Source organism: Homo sapiens, chromosome 13, assembly GCF_000001405.40.
Source record: "Homo sapiens chromosome 13, GRCh38.p14 Primary Assembly".
In the NCBI taxonomy this organism is placed as follows: Eukaryota; Metazoa; Chordata; class Mammalia; order Primates; family Hominidae; genus Homo; species Homo sapiens.
Window position 1 is genome coordinate 77,262,289 of NC_000013.11, and position 17,121 is coordinate 77,279,409.

Here is a 17,121-nt window from a genome sequence, read left to right on the forward strand (position 1 = left end):
GTATAGTACTCCAAGGAAAGATAAAGTTATCATAATCTGTTTCTCTTGTTCCAAACCAGTACCAAATTAATTTTTTAAATATACGACAAAAAAATTTAAAAATTCAATGTCAGCAATATTCCTTGAATTAATGTATAAATGCTCAAAGTTTTATTGAGCGTTTATTAGGTACCAGGCATTATACAATTCACAAAATTTATCTCATTTGATTCTCACAACTATACCACTTGGTTTACAAATAAGCATATATAAAGGTTGGAGAGGTTAGTCCAGACACAGAGTCATTCAAGCTTGGAACAATGCCATGCAGATATTTGAATTAAAGTATTTCAGATTCTCTGCCTATGTCTTTTTCTACAGAAAGACATCTTATATAGCTACTCCATCAATTCAAATATATATATATGTAAATATGCATATACACACACAGATCCTTATGCATATTTTCAAATTGTAAAACTATGAGTAATTGTAGCTTTACATATGGTACATTTTATGACTTTGTCCAGCTATACAAACTACTAACTAGTTTATGGGCTTTAAAAATTTTAAATCTGTAATTTCAATTCAAGATTTTTCTAGGGAAGAATTATAAAAATACTACATAATTAGAATATAGAAAGTAAAGCACTAATGCCAAGTTTATGAAATGTAATGAGATAACAGTCAAAAAAGATGGATCTTGCAAAGAACCCTACAAGTTACGGAAGGTCACTATTAAACCTGGAGTGGCATGGCAAGCCAAAACTAAAACTCTCAGGAGAACTCATGATCCTAATTACTTTTACAACATTACAAAAGTAAATAATCTAAGCCCAAGAAATACTCTGTGGTTATCTGTATTTCTCTATCCAAGTGAAAGATTACTGATCCGTGTGTAAGGCCAATTACCATTTTGACAATCTATGAGATCATTCTATAGTTACCTTGAAAATCTATTCAAGTAAAAACTTTAAAAATTTCAACGAGAGAACTATGTATATTGTTGTAATAACATTTACAACGTAAGTTTTCAAATTTTTAAATAGTTGAAAAATGATGCAGCATATAAACTAATGACATTCACCAATATCCATCCATAATTCTCATTAAATTTTATTTTCTTTTGCTCTATTCAAAGCAAAAAAGAGAAATTATTAGTCAATTCCTTAGAATGGTCTTCAAATATCATACTTTGTTTAAAGACTGTGTTTCCCAGTTATTTATTCATATTAATTCAAAATTATCCTTTATATTAATAGTAACAGACACAAAATAGCTGCTACAACATAAGCTGAACTGGTGAAAACACAATGTTCATTTTTAAGAGTATGAAAAATTGAAAATTAAAATATAGGGAAAACACTTAATTTGCTATCTTACTTATAATATGCAAGTCCTTTTCCAGATCGAATAGTGAGATACCACAGGCATGTAAGCATTTTCTAGCCAGTTTAAGTTGCAATTCTTGCTGTAGAACAGGTTCAGTGCTTGTGGCAAATATTCTGACAACAAAGCCATCCTAAGAAAAATAAAACATCCACAGCATTACATTACATAAAGAGGTCGTTCAAGGCTCTACAGTCTATCTAATAAAAGCTAAATAATTTAAGGAAAAGGAATTCCATTTACACTAGCTACTTAAGATTCAGGATACTTACATCTCTTGAAGCAGCTATCTGATTAATATATTCTCCATCAGTGAATAAAATATTTTGACCTTCAGTGTGGCAATCTGTGCAAAAGAAAAAGTATTTATATTACAATACAAGCAAACACCTTGCAAAATGAATTTACTCCTCTGTTGAAGTCAAAATGAGAGTTCTCCACGCAATAAGGATAAACTCAAAAGGAGACTGTGCTTTTTAATAAAGAATTATAAATTAGCAGAAACTAATTCAACTAATCATACTTATTACATTTTTGCTTATATTTATAAATCTTCCATAACCAAGGACCTGAGATCCCACCTAATTTCAAAATGAATTAGTATTAGATATAGTCTGACAGTAAACATGCACCACGATGAACAAACTATAATGTTGGTTACAATCATTTCAATACAATCACATGCAATGGAGGCAACACTCTACTCTCAGACATACATCACAGTCATTAGTGTCACAGAAAAATACGACCTAAAGCTTCTGTATTTGACATCTATTGTGTCCAACTACAGATATCCCTTGCTTTGTAAAATGGATATTCAAAACCAGTTGTACATTTCCCACTTAAAAATTCAATGTTTATTCACAGCATTTTTAGCATTTAGTGTGCTCTAAACTTTTTAAATGTTTGTCCAACAAGAGCAGACAAATATATGCTTATGCTTTTATTTTTATCTCAAAGCAGTCATGTATCTTGGCTAGAATACCATATTTCATCAATACTGCATGTATCTCCATAGAATAGTACACCATATACTTTGATCAAAATAATGCACAAGCTCAATTGTAACAAGGGATACCAGTATTACAGAAGGACCACAGGAACACGTGTTAGTGATTGCTACTAAATAACACAAAACTACAAGCAAAATCAACATCAAGGATAAATTCTGTCCTTTTGGAAAAACAAATTTTCAGCAAGCAAGTTAAAAGCACACACACACACACACACATACTTCCCAAAATAACTGCAGAAAACTAGGATGAATCTCTCCATTAATCACAATACCAAAACAAAAAATAACATTTCATTTCTAGTTGCACCTGAATCAACAAAACATAAAATTCTGATTTTGAAATGCAGTAATGGAGCCCACCCGAATAAGCTGGATTATTCTTTATCTTTGCCCAGGAGCTTCATACTAGCATACTTCCTTATCATAAATATGCAAAACACAGGCAGACCCTTACCAAATAGAGAATTCAGGGATCACAAACTGGAAATAGAAACTGGGAGACAAGGCCCACTGGTAGCCCAAGAGACTTGGTAATCAAAGAGAGGAGAAATCAAAAGAAAGAGTTCCTAGTCCACTGTACAGAACACAAAGAGGCGCAAGAAAGATGCTTCTCAAGCTCTAAGCAGTAAGATTTTAAACTAAAAAGCAAAGAAGAAAAACTCATTATAATTTCAGATAAACGCAGGGGTGAGGAGTGAAGCGGCGCAAGAAGAGTAGCAAAAAGCCTCATGAACTGAGGCAACCTGTCACCAGACATGGAGAGAAAATGACATAAAGATACAATCTGTAAGATAAGCCGAGGTTTAAAGAATAAAATGACAATTATCAGATAAAAAAAGTATGTTTTAAGTTCATCAAAACAAGGTTGAAATACTTTTTAAATAAACTATACTGTAAGACAAGCTGGAACATGAAGCTCAAGGAATTACCTGATTTATGTCAACTTGAAACATGGTATTCATTACCATCTATAAACCTGACAATTTACTTCTGCTCCTTGATTGGAAGGCTACAGAGCAGAGCTATTCCTACCCACGAAAAACAAAAAGTGCTATTGGATGAAAATTCAGTCCAGGTCAAAGAAACAAGAAAATTACAAAAGGCTTCTTCAGGCTTGAGGGAGGAGTCTTCTGCCACGTGATTTCAAGATTTTCTCTTTATCCTTTCTTTATCCATCATGTAATATTTTAAGCTTGTATCTTCAGGAATATATCAAGCAACATCTGCCAGTTCTGAAGACAAATATGGGACTATCTTCCTGAAGTTTGGTTCATTCTTCACCACTAATACAGCACACACTTATGAAACACAGAAAGCCACACTTGTATTGTTCAAAGTTGCATTTCACAAGTTAAACAAAGCAACGAGATTTAAACTGAATAAAGACATTAACGAGTAATTTTTTTATCAAGGCAGAATAAATAAAACAGCTGTAGGCACATATTTTCAAATTGTCTTATCAATAAGTCACAGTCTCTATTAAATGTGCAGGGTTTCTCAGAAGTAAATCCTTGATATTAGTACCCATGTGTTATAGCGGATGGGATGTGTCAATTTAGAATTTTTCTTCTATGTCATTATCCTAAAATGACTGGCACAAAGACAGCACGATAGGAACGCTCATTACAGTGTAATTTATATAGCAAAACCCTGGAAGGCTTTCATTCTCAAACATTAATCAATGGAATATATTTTGTAACATTTAAGTGACATTGTAGAAGACTATTTAATGACCTAGAAATATTTTCAGAATATTAAGTGAAAGAGATAGATTAAAAAAGCAATATGTAGCATATGATCACACTTTTTTACAAGTATGGACATATACACAAAGGAAAAATACGAGAAGGATATTTACCAATATGTTCATAGTGTTTATATATGGGAAGTGGGATTATAATTATTTCAATTCATTCTTTTTTGTTCATATGATTTTTATACAACAAACATGATTACTTTCAATATATGTATAAATATGTGGGGGGAGTGTGCATGTTATTAAAAGTATTTTTTAATATTATTGTCATTATTATTATTATTATTATGACCAAAGACATGGTCCAGGACTTGTAATGAAAAAAAAAAAAAAAAAAAAAACCCTGTAGACATATCTGAAAATAGATGGTTATTTTCAAAATGATTTTATTAAGTCATCCGCTTTCCAAAGCTCCTCTATTTCTGAAATGGACATGAAATGTCATATTTACTTTAACATAGTGTCATGTACACTAATATGTATCTATGTATATGTAGTAAGGTTCAAATAAATGTTTGATGAAATTATTAAGATTATATTTAAAAATAAACATGCAGCCCAGGAGCAATTATTCTTCTCAATGCACTCTTCAGAAGTAGCTCTCACTTTCAGATGGTCAAACGCTTACAAGTAATATTGCTACTATGAAATTATTGACAGACACATTAGACACTCAAGATTTTAATATAAACAGCCTCAGAAAGTATCAACATTATAAACAAATTCAAAGATCTTACAATAAAGAATATGCATTTTTCCAGCATTCATCAAAATTGGAGACCTACTGCCTGATAATTTAGCAGTGATTTAAGTGAATATATAAAAGCCTCAAAATTAAAGCAAAATAAACTGTGTCCAAAGACCTTTATCAAAGTATTAAGAAGCATAAGAAGCATAAATGATGAAATTAAAAAAAAAAATTCCTGACCTACCCTAAACTCTCTGTCTCTGAAACCCCTTTAACATAAAATAAAATAAAATAAAATTAAATTAAATTAAATAAAATTAAATTAAATTAAATAAGGAGGAAAACCCAACTGCACTGTTGTTAAAGTAAAAATAAACAGAAGGTTCTTTATACTGAGTCACATGAGAGCCAGAGTTCTGATTTTTATTAAGAGCAACACAGTTACATCACCCCACTAATTCAGCAGTGGTGGGGTGAGGTCAGAGATTAGGCCATAGACGGCCAAGTTTGAAAACAAATATTAAAACTTGTTATATTTCTATGTCTATTCTCTTGATATGTATTAACTTCACGTAGACTATAAAATGCTTTGTATGTCAAGATTTTTAAAACCCTTTTATAAGCAAGCACTATCCCTTGCTAATCATTCTTTATGTGTCTAAATAGCTTAACATGCACATTTCTTAAAATTGCTTGTGGAGAAAAAATGACTACTTGAAACATACCTGGTAACATCACAGTACCATCTTGCTCCAGTGTTTCAGGGCTTATCCTTATGGCTGTCATGCTGTGGTTATTCACATCTCTATATAATAAATAACCCTGATAACAGCAAAAAATTTTCCTGTTAAAATATTTATTACTAATTCAGCAGAAACAGCAGCCATACAGCTCCATATTACAGGTTTTTGAGGTACAATAATACATCAATATTGATGTCTAAAAGATATTAATGATTAAAAATATAAGAACATTCCTCTCAATTAGAGGAAAAGTCATACATTATTGAAAATTGATGTAACATATTCCCAGAAACATAATTAGGTATACTAAACAGGACAGTACAGTTACAAACATTTTGTTCAAAATGACCATACCACTTGCCAAGTAAATAATATGAATGATCACTGTTACTTTAACAAGTACTTTAAGAAAAATAACAAGTATTGAGTTTGCTATTTGAAAATGAATAGCATAGTGGTTTCAGAAGGTGTGGTATGCCATTGAACACACTGCTATAATAATATACTTTCCACGGCATTATTTCTTAGATAAAACACAATAGAGTGGCAAATAAAAATCTGATGAGATATTTTAAACTAAGTTCAATTTTTAAGAGACAATTACTGAGAAACTAATTTGTTATCTAAAATTTAATTTCAGGCTGGGGGCGGTGGCTCACGCCTGTAATCCCAGCACTTTGGGAGGCTGAGGCAGGTGGATCACCTGGGATTAAGAGTTCGAGACAAGCCTGGCCGGCATGGTTAAACCCGTCTCTACTAAAAATACAAAAATTAGCTGGACGTGGTGGTGGGCACCTGTAATCCCAGCTACTCGGGAGGCTGAGGCAAGAGAATCGCCTGAACCTGGGAGGCGGAGGTTGCAGTGAGCTGAGATCACGCCACTGCATTCCAGCCTCAGCGACAAGAGCAAAACTACAACTCCAAAAAAAAAAAAAAATTTAATTTCAAATTCTCCCCAATAGGTGATACAGTAGAATTATTCTTCATGTAACAATAGTAATTTCCATAGTTTTCAAAAGACTTTCAAATATCTTTTATCATTTGATCCTGACAACAAATCTCACAAGCTCAGCAAGGCAGGCATGCAGGGAAATCTTTATTCTTTATCCTTATACAAAGGAACTTGGGCTTCACTGTTCAGGTAGGTACTGTATGGAAAAAAATATTTCTAGTCCCTCTTGTCCATCCTTCATTTGCTTTTCTCCATAAGAGGAGTAATGTATCCATCTGGCTGCTGACCTTGTAAAAGGCTAACACCTATCTGACTATGTTGGTCAGGAGATAAGATCACAGCATTAAGACACAAAAACCCAGGGCTTTTCTTTCTCTCTTGTGATTCTTTGCATATTCTTCATGCAGGTAGCTGTCTACTGAGTAGGCCAAACACTGTTTCCTAGAAAGTACTGAATCTAGACTAAAATGAAAGAGTCTGTGGTAAGAAACCCTAATTTGGCCTCAGGACATGTATACATTTCCAATTTAAATGTGCTAATGAGGCTGGGTGGGGTGGCTCAGGCCTGTAATCCCAGCACTCTGGGAGGCCCAGGCGGGTGGCTCACTTCAGGTCAGGGGTTTGAGACCAACCTGGCCAAAATGACAAAACCCTGTCTCTACTAAAAATACAAAAAAATTAGCTAGGCATGGTGGCATGGGCCTTCTCAGGAAGCTGAGGCACAAGAATCACTTGAACTCAGGAGGCAGAGGTTGCAGTGAGCCGAGACTGTGCCACTCCACTCTAACCTGGGTGACACAGCGAGATTCTGTCTCAATTAAAAAAAAAAATGTGCTAATGATAAAGGTGGTCTTCAATTCTTATCTAGAGGCTCACTTACACAAGAACTCTAAAGAAGGTATGTTTAATCCCATATTAAAGCTAAATAACAGAGGACCCAATAAGTTAACTGAGTTGTCCAGTCATACAGCTAGTAGGAAGCAGGGCCAGAACTAAAATTGAACCTCTTATGAGTTCTGAGACAGTGTTCTTTACGCTACACTATTCAGTTATTATGGCCATATTAGTAAAAATATATTATCATTTCTGTTTAAATAGAAGTGATATTACTGATTAAACAAGGACAAATCACATGTTGTAAAAGATAAGAAAATTTTGGTTTATTGTGGATAGTTTCTTACCTGAGCATACCCTAACCAAGACTTTTTTTCTTTTCTGTTTCTAATACGGGATGTAGAATTGTATATATGGCCCTGCAAAAAAAACAAAAGTTAGTATATCAGTGGTTTCATAATTAATAATCAATGAAAAATAATACAAATGGGTGAATGACATTTAATGCATGTATTTCAATTATGGTTTTCAAATAAATATTATTACACTAAAATTAGATCATATTCTAGAAATGAAACTAGAAACACACAGAACACAATTCATTATGGTTATAACTCTGTATAATTAAGGAACTGTAAGGAATCACATTACCCTAACTGTTCCACTGTATCCAGAGCCTATTTTATATAATCCATCCTTGCATAATAGATAAAGAAAAAATCCATCATTCTGAAGTAGACATTGGTCATCTTCATCAACAGATATTTCTTTTAATGGCCACTTGTGCATTAAAGCTGCTTTCTTAATGCCATTACTAAACCAGTCCTGAATTTGAATTTTTCCCACCAAAACTGCTTGTACACTTCTCTGTAGCGAATTTAGAATTGTTGGCACCTAATCAAAAGAGAAGAAAAATAATGAAAAAACATTTTTAAATGTTACAAACACAGAACAAAGATACTTTGGTAATACATCATCATTCATAAGACAATAAATTGTTCAGAATGATATTTCGCATGCCAGCAAAAAGTACCAACTAAAAGTTCATCTATAAGAAGCAAATCTCAAGCAAGGTAGACTTCCTTACTCTTGGGATTCCATGTCATTCACCAATTCTGTAAAATCTTAGCCATTATTTCAAGTACTCTATCTCCACAAATCTATTATTGCCTTGTGGAACTCAGATTGTATTACATTAGATTTTGTCATTCTCGATCCATGTTTCTTATTTTATCTTCCATATTTCTCTCCTTGTCTCTCTGTTGCATTCTAGATAATTTCTTCCTCTTTATCTTTCAGTTCACCATTTCCATCTTCAACCATATTATACAATAGTTAACCCATTTTAAGTTTCTAATTGTAATTATTTGGTTTTTCATTTCTAGGAGTTCGATTTGTTTTTTTTCCTAATGTCTGACTACTTTTTATATTCTCACTACTTAATCATACTTTTGATATTTTCTTTTATTACTTTAACCATACTTTATATATTCATACACATACACATTCTATATCAAATAATTTCAATATCTAAGGACTTGGCAGGATTGATTCTACCATATTTGTTTCTGCTAATTCTCAATAATGGTGCCTTTTTCCATGTGCTTTTTTTATTAATTTGTTTCTGAGCTCAAATGCAATAAATAGTGTTTTATTTGCAGAAAGCCTTTGAAGTCAAGAGTTCAACCCTCCAGAAAGGATTTCAGTGTCTTTCAATACAGCATCTTGCAGTACTACCATGTCTACCCTGCTTTAAACTCTCTGTTAAGCTTTATGAAATGGACAAGTAGTATGCATTTGGGTGCCAAAACAAATCTGAGATGTGAAGAGTTACACATACTCATATGGTTTGGTTGTGTTCCCACTCAAATCTCATCTTGAATTCCCACGTGTTGTGGAAGGGACCCAGTGGGAGGTAACTGGATCATGGGGGCAAGTCTTTCCTGTGCTGTTCTCATGATAGCGAATAAGCCTCACGAGATCTGATGGTTTTATAAAGAGGAATTTCCCTGAACAAGCTCTCTTTGCCTGCTGCCATCCACGTAAGACATGACTTGCTCCTCCTTGCCTTCCACCATGATTGTGAGGTTTCTCCAGCCATGTGGAACTATAAATCCATTAAACCTCTTTCTTTTGTAAATTGCCCAGTCTCGGGTACATCTCTATCAGCAGCGTGAAAACGGACTTAATGCACACATTCTCAGGGAAAGCTTTTCTCCCTCTACCAACAGTCAGGCCAGGAGAGTTTTGGGAAATGAAGTTGGTAGATAAAAGGCCAAATCATGAAGAGCACTGCAAGCCATGTTAAGGTAATGGGCTTTAATATGGAGTTTAGGCTAGAGTTGGGGATGTGGTGATGTGGCAGGTCTGTAGAGAACTGCAGCTATTGATTCAGAGGATCAAGTAGTTTTGTGTTGTCTAGTGATTGAGCATAAATATTGGAGACAGATAAGCCCTCGAGTCCTGTCTCTGTTATTTGCCAGCTCTGTATGCTGTGGCTACGCTATTTGACAGCTCTCTATGCTATAGCTATACTAAACTTCTTTCAGCTTTCAAATATTTCACTCTTACTCTCACCTCCATGCCTTAGCATGTGGATACCTAGAACATTCTCTCTCTACACCACCAACACCAAAAATTTCTCCTGGCTGATTTCAACTCATTAGTTTAGATCTCACCTCATATCCTCTGGGAGGCTTTCCATGAACGTAGTTCTTATACTCCTGCTATGAGCTCTAATGGCATTCCTAAGTCTCTATATAAAAGCAAATCATATCAAAATTCATAAGCTCATATGTTGGTGGTCACTATCCTATTAAAATCTGGTATATGGTATCTGAATGTTTGTGTTACTTTATTACAATTTTTAAAATATTTGCATATTTTAAACATATATTTAAATTAAACATTTGCCAAACCCTGAAAGCATGTCTACAGAACACAGCTTGAAAACCACTGTATTAGAGCAACTTCAAAATAATTAAGGACCATAAAAAGGGACAAAAGGATTCCAAGCAAGGCAGAAAGGAAGAAAAGAGCAGAAATCTTGAGTAAGGGAATGGGTCTTGTTTGACCAGGAGAGTTCAAAATCACTGAATAAGACAGAAAATGACCAATATACTCCTTTTGCTATCTTTGGTCTGCTAATAACAGGATTGAGGCATCCCTTCCACCTGCCCTAGGGTTGCCCAAGGGGCCAGAGAAGAGTAGACAGTCAGGTCTTAAGATCATAACTTCTTTCTCAATTTCCAGAGCCTTCCCAAATAATTAAGTCAAGTTTGCCTATAAGGATTATTTTTCCCACCACTAAAATGGTGATGAGCTTGTTTGTTCCACAACTGAATATTAAAAGCCTAAAATGTTTTATACACAGCTGAAGTAACTCAGAAACGAATCAATTCATAAAAAAATCATAATCAACCAATCAAAAATATATCAGATTGATACCATATCTTTTTCTTTCAATAGAGAAAAGATATTTAAAACCATGAATGAATTCCATACTAAAAAACTCAGGGAAAGATGGGAAGAAGGGAGAACGCAGACAGCAAGAAAACAGCAAGGAAAGAGAAGGCTATGGTGTTAAGGCAAAGACCAGCTTAAAGATTTAAGAGGTCTGGCCAAAATTCATTTTATTATATTTAAAGCTTCAGAGTTAAACATACATATCACTTAATTGAAATACTGTAGATTATTTATGTATCAATCTTGGACAGATTAAGCTACTGTAATGAGTGAGAAAAAGCAGAATTCCTATTGACAGAAATTGAGACGAAACTGTAACTTGTCATCTTATAAACTTCTAAGCAGATATAAATATGAAATACCTGAATAGTTTGGCAAGCATGGCTTCCATTGTTGGTGAGGATAGCAGAGATGGCCTGAAGTGTCCTTCCTGTTTCTCCCCAAGAAGCCACCAGACTAAAGAGGCAAGCACAGGAAAGTGCTGTTAAGGACTGTCCTGTGCTGTCATTCATCCCAGTACTTCGAACGGTGATTTCCAAAAGAAGCTGGAAGAGAGACTCTGTGGATAAAATAGAATTCAATTATATTCATCCAACATACGGAACATTATATGCGTATATTTATTTATTTTTACTTTGTCTCATTATAAACGAAATTTAAGGAATCTAGAACAATTACTTTGCTTTAGTTTCTTTCTAGTTACTCTCTTCCCCAAAAGTTAAAATATTTATGTAACAAGGGTCTTAAAGAACATTCAGTTCAACTCCTTATTTTTCTTAGTAAAAAAAGACAATCTAAGGTCTTTTAAAACAAGCTTGCCTAGAGGCATTCACATATTCAAGAAACTCATCCTATCAAGTAATAGACTACTTGTCATACTTATTTTACCTTTTAGATTAGGAGGCTTCTTAAAATGTTAAGTGTCCAGGAAATTATGTATATATTTTCAAAGTAATAGAAACATAAAACATATGCAATAATGTGCTTTAATATAAAATTGGCTATATCATTAACATAATAGCAATTCACACTTAGGATGTAATTCATTTATACCCTAGAAAAACCTCCAAGTCAATAGGACAGATATTCTCCCCCTTTAATAATGAAATTGAGATATGTGGTATCAAAAGATTTTTCCTAAATCATAAAGTCATTTAGTGGTGAAGATGAAACACACACACACACAAATGTTTTACAACCAGCAGAGGTCTCTGCACAAAATTCCCTGAACACCTCCATCTAAGATTCAATCAACAGACATCTGGGTATTTCTTCCATAGAACGGAGACTTGAAAATCCTTATAGAGTGAATAATCAGATGGAGAGGGAAAAAGAGAGTTAGAAAAAGAAAAACTGAGAAACATGAAGAGAGGGAAAGGGAAGGGAGAGAAGGAGGAGAACAAGAGAAAGAGGAGTAATGTACTGCAATTCTCTAAAAACTAAAATGCCACCTGTGGGTTATCTGGTAACTTACAGAAACCCAGGCAGCCCCTACCAATCCCTCATCTTCCATAGCTAATCCCAAATTAAGTCCTGTTTATTTTACTTCCTAATGGATAACTCCACTTTTCCCTATCTCATCATCATCTTTCCAATCCATGCTATCATCATCTCTTTGATAAAAAGTGTTAAGAAATTATCTCTTACCATTCGCTTTTGCCCCAATAGCCAGGGAGAATTTCAAACCAAAAATCTGATTGTCTACTTAAAATTCTTTCACTCCTTTGTTAATTTCTTCCTCCCTTCTGTCTTCTTTTCTTTCCCCCTTCCTCTCTTCACTTGTCTGTACACATCCTATACTTCCATTTTTTTCCATTTATCCTTTCCTCTACCTTTTCCTCCAGCTATCCTTCCTTCCCTCCATCCTTTCATCTATCCCTGTTTGTCCATATTTCCATCTACCCATCCTTCCTCCAATTATTATCCTTCAGTGAGTACATCTGTTGATTATTCAGCAAATATATACCGAACTCTCACACACTGGCAACTATTCTACACTAGGGTATTGGCAAACATGACAAAGAATGTCTCTACCCTTTCAAAAAGGTTAAGAATCCAGGGAAAGAAAATAGTCAATAGTTTAAACAAATAATTTAAGAAAATAAGGCTATTTAAAAAACAATATTCTTCATGTAATGAAATAGAGAATGACTTTCCATTCCTCCTAGCCCACTAATCAAATTCTTTAACATGGCATGTAAAGCTCTGCATGTCCCTGCCTCCTTCCTCACCTGTCACAAGACTGTTTCCTTCACTCTCCACATTCTAGCCATATTGCTCTTCTTTTCATTCATTCTCCTTTCTGTCTCAGAGCCTTACTAAATGCTGTTATTTCTGCCTAGAGCACTTATAATCGAATTCACTCCCTCCTATTCACCCTCTAAATCTCATATGTCACATCTTCAGGGAGCCTGTTAAAGACTCTCAGAAGGAGCTGGGTGCAGCAGTGTGTACCTATAGTCACAGCTACTTGGGAGGTGGAGGCAGGAGGATCACTTGAGTCCAGGGTTTGAGGCTACCCTGGGCAATATAGTAAGATCCTGTCCCTAAAGATAAATAAATAAAAAATTTTTAAGTTAAAAAAGGAATCTTGGCCAGGCGCAGTGGCTCATGCCTGTAATCCTAGCATTTTGGGAGGCTGAGGTGGGCAAATCACCTGAGGTCAGGAGTTTGAGACCAGCCTGGCCAACATAGTGAAACCCTGTCTCTACTAAAAATACAAAAATTAGCCGGGCATTGTGGAACGCGCCTGTAGTCCAAGCTACTCAGGAAGCTGAGGCAGGAGAATAGCTTGAACCCAGGAGGTGGAAGTTGCAGTGAGCCAAGATCGCACCACTGCATTCCAGCCTGGGCAACAGAGCGAGACTCCGTCTCAAAAAACAAAAAAGGACTCTCAGAACTCCTTCTACTTTCCTCCATACGATTTATCCACATTTGTAATTATACACATATCCAACTCTCTGATGCTAAGTTCCATAATAACAGCAATAGTATCGCACATTCTTAGCACATAACAAAGGGGGTGCTATTACATTTCAGTGAGTACTCGAGAATATAATCTAATTGAACAGAATATATGGATATAAGGAAATATATTTTTAAATAGATAATTTAAAAATCAAAATCTATTTGCAAAGAGAAGAAGCTTGGTGTATACTAATCATCAAGATGTTCCACAGTAAGAGTTATATAAATATACACATATTTTCATGAATAACACGAAAACAACCGAATGGGAAAAAAAGGATAACCAATAAGATTGTGATATTAGATTAAAAAAAGGAGGAGAGGCAAGTTTCAAAAGAAATTTAGTATAAAAGAACCAAATCAGTGCTTTTATCTTTGAGCTAATTTAACAAAATAGAAAACATGAAGTGATAATAAATCCCTTACATAGAAAAATAAGCCAAAGCAGTGACGAGATCAGCAGTAAACACTGAAAGGATGGAAGACAGACGAAAGGCAGTACAGCAGAATTTGAAACTTTAAACAAGAAAATAAAAATGAACAGATTAATAAGGTGAAATATTTTTGGGTTTTGTGGGATTTTTTGGGGGTTTTTTTTTTGGTAGAGATGAGGTCTCATTCTGTCACCCAGCTAGAGTGCAGCGCAGTGGCATGATCACAGCCGACTGTAGCCTCAGACTCCTGGGCTCGAGCGGTCCTCCCACCTTAGCCTCTTGAGTAGCACTCATTTCCATGCCCAGTTTTTTTTTTTTTTTTTTTTTTTGGAGAGATAGGGGTCTAAGTTGCCCAGACTGGTCCCAAACTCCCAGCCTTAAGCTATCCTCCTGCCTCAGCCTCCCAAAGTGCTGGGATTACAGGCATAAGCCACCACACCCAGCCAATAATGTGAAAGTTTTGATGGAAGATAAGACTAAAGCACATATTATATGCCAAAGCCAGTATTAAGAACAAGTTCTAGTTTTAAAAGAATAAAGGAAAGAAAGTATGTACAGAATGGATACAAAGGAAAGTATATAACAACTGACATGAGACATGAGAATGGTAGAAGACTTAGGAGGAAAGAAATAACATGTTCAAAGTAGGAAATACGACATCCAAGTCTTCGCGGGTATTTCAACATTCCAATTATTTGCTAACTAACAAACCAAATCCAAGAAAACCGAGCAAAATATTGTTAAATAAAATAAATCAAATCTTCAGTAAAATGCTGTCAAGCCAAGCAGCACTTCACAATATTAATATGATCACTGGTGCTATCATAACAATAACCAACACGGTGCTTGCCTGCCAACATGACAGCTTCTATTTGGTAATAGCTTTTAATAACTGTGTATGTGAGGGGGGTGGTTTTAAAAAATCCTCAGCTTGTTTCAATGACCAGCATCCTCCCTCTCATTAAAACAAACAAAAGTCAAACACAATAACTGAGTCCCCACATGCGACCAAAAAAGAAAAATCTGACATGTAGTTAGGTTCATGCAGTTTGGTTCTCACAGGTGGGTCCTACAAAATCTAAATAGCCAAGTCGGAAAAAAAGGACCAAGTTTTAGTCTAAACCAGCAGTGTACTCCTCAAACCAGCATCTGTATCACCAAGAAACTAATTCCAAATACAAACTTTTGGGCCCCACCCCAAGTCTATGGAATCAGAAACACCATAGGGAAGTCCCCGATAACTCTGATACATGCTAATGAGAATTGAGAACCACATAATGAGAACCACAGCTCTAGTACTTCTGAGAATTTTCCTATAATAATAGAAGGATCTAGAAAACTTTAGATAGTTTAAAGACCCATAGTTAGCATCGGAGAAAAAAAGCAATTAACCAGTTAAAAATTATGCTTCCATCTATATTTCTATTCCTTAGTACCTTTTAAGTAAAAGCTCCTATCTTATTTAAAGGATTACATGTTGAGTCTGGGTCACTGATATGAAAGGCAAGAATCGGAACATACTTTAAGAAAAGCGAACACTTTATTTACTTAATGAAAGTTGCTAAGTCAGAAGTTTAATCCATAACACAAATAGATTTTTATTTATGATGAATACAAAAAAAAGTCCCCTCAATTTAGAAACTAATTGTACTGTTTTGGCTTTGTGGCATTTATTTCCTTTTCCCCTGTTTTTTAAAACTATTGAGAGTAACAAGTTAGAGAAAGTGAATGTTAGCTATTTTGGCCAAAAGTTTAATAAGAACGATTTCAGTTAATAGTGACCTTAAGGTTTGAGGATTATTTCTGGATTCCAGGGATTTATGTTTTGTTTGCCCCCCGCTTCATCATACTAATTGAGAAATGTGTGTGCACGAACTTCAACTCTTAAACCATAACTTCAGTGGAACACAGAAAAAAATACTCTAGAACTTATACCCCTGCTGTTTCCGTACCACAATTAAATAAAGACTGCATTACAGGCTATTGTGTGTGCTTCATAAGAGAAGCTCTTCACTTTTTAAAAACTGCAAATTGACAATTTATAATTATATAAATTTATGGGGTATAAAGTGATGTTATGATTCATGAATAAAATGTGGACTAATTAACATCTATCACCTCAAGTACTTAACATTTTCTGTAGTGAGAACTTTAGAAATATTCTCTTAACAATTTTGAAGTGTACAATACTCTATTATTAATTATATTCACTTTTAAATGCTTCACTGAATGAGCCTTGGCTCTTACCTAGGACCTCAGGTGGCTCAGACTGGAGGCCTTCTGGCTGCTGGCCCTGCAGCACGTTGAGCAGGGCTTGGAGACTCCTGAGACACAGGGATGGATGAGAAAATCGTGTCTCTTTGATCAATTCAAAAACTTCACAAAGGCCAACCTCAATAATCTATTTAAAAGGAAAAAATATATATACTTTATGACATGTAAGCTAGTAACACTTTCTAAGCAGTTTAGTTGGTACAAGTTACTTCCACAGCAAATGATAATGTATATGTATAATGGAGCCATAATAAAACATCATGAAAATGGCTTATAACAATGAACTAGAGACTAGATTGCATTCACTCAGAAGAAATAAACTATATTAATTTGCAAAGTTCATTTGATTGTACTCAAGGAAAATTCAGTACTCTTTTTGTCAAAAGTCATGTTAATTGTTACCTATAACCAGAAATAAAGTCAACACAGCACATATAGTAAAAAGATTTTACAAGGAGCTTTTCGTCTTAGCCTTTTCTATAATGGTACAATCACTATATTATTATTTATAGTTGGTATCCCTTCTTGTAGGATGATCACAAAACAATTTAAAACTGCTTAGCTAAAAATATCACTGGTACTTTTCCTTTAATTATCTTACTATTCCTCATCAGGTGCAAGAAAA

The 17,121-nt window shown here is 34.6% G+C and overlaps 1 protein-coding gene across 1 annotated transcript in view; it reads right to left on the reverse strand.

Annotated features, from left to right (window-relative positions):
• MYCBP2 (MYC binding protein 2) overlaps nucleotides 1–17,121 on the reverse strand; it is a 282,438-nt gene that overhangs the window by 217,632 nt on the left and 47,685 nt on the right. The window contains exons 4-10 of the mRNA NM_015057.5: nucleotides 16,470–16,623; nucleotides 11,184–11,380; nucleotides 8,008–8,250; nucleotides 7,704–7,775; nucleotides 5,553–5,649; nucleotides 1,641–1,714; nucleotides 1,363–1,501 (exon numbers count right to left, since the gene is read on the reverse strand). Coding sequence (NP_055872.4) covers nucleotides 1,363–1,501; nucleotides 1,641–1,714; nucleotides 5,553–5,649; nucleotides 7,704–7,775; nucleotides 8,008–8,250; nucleotides 11,184–11,380; nucleotides 16,470–16,623 — 976 coding nt within the window. The remainder of the gene's footprint in view (nucleotides 1–1,362; nucleotides 1,502–1,640; nucleotides 1,715–5,552; nucleotides 5,650–7,703; nucleotides 7,776–8,007; nucleotides 8,251–11,183; nucleotides 11,381–16,469; nucleotides 16,624–17,121) is intronic.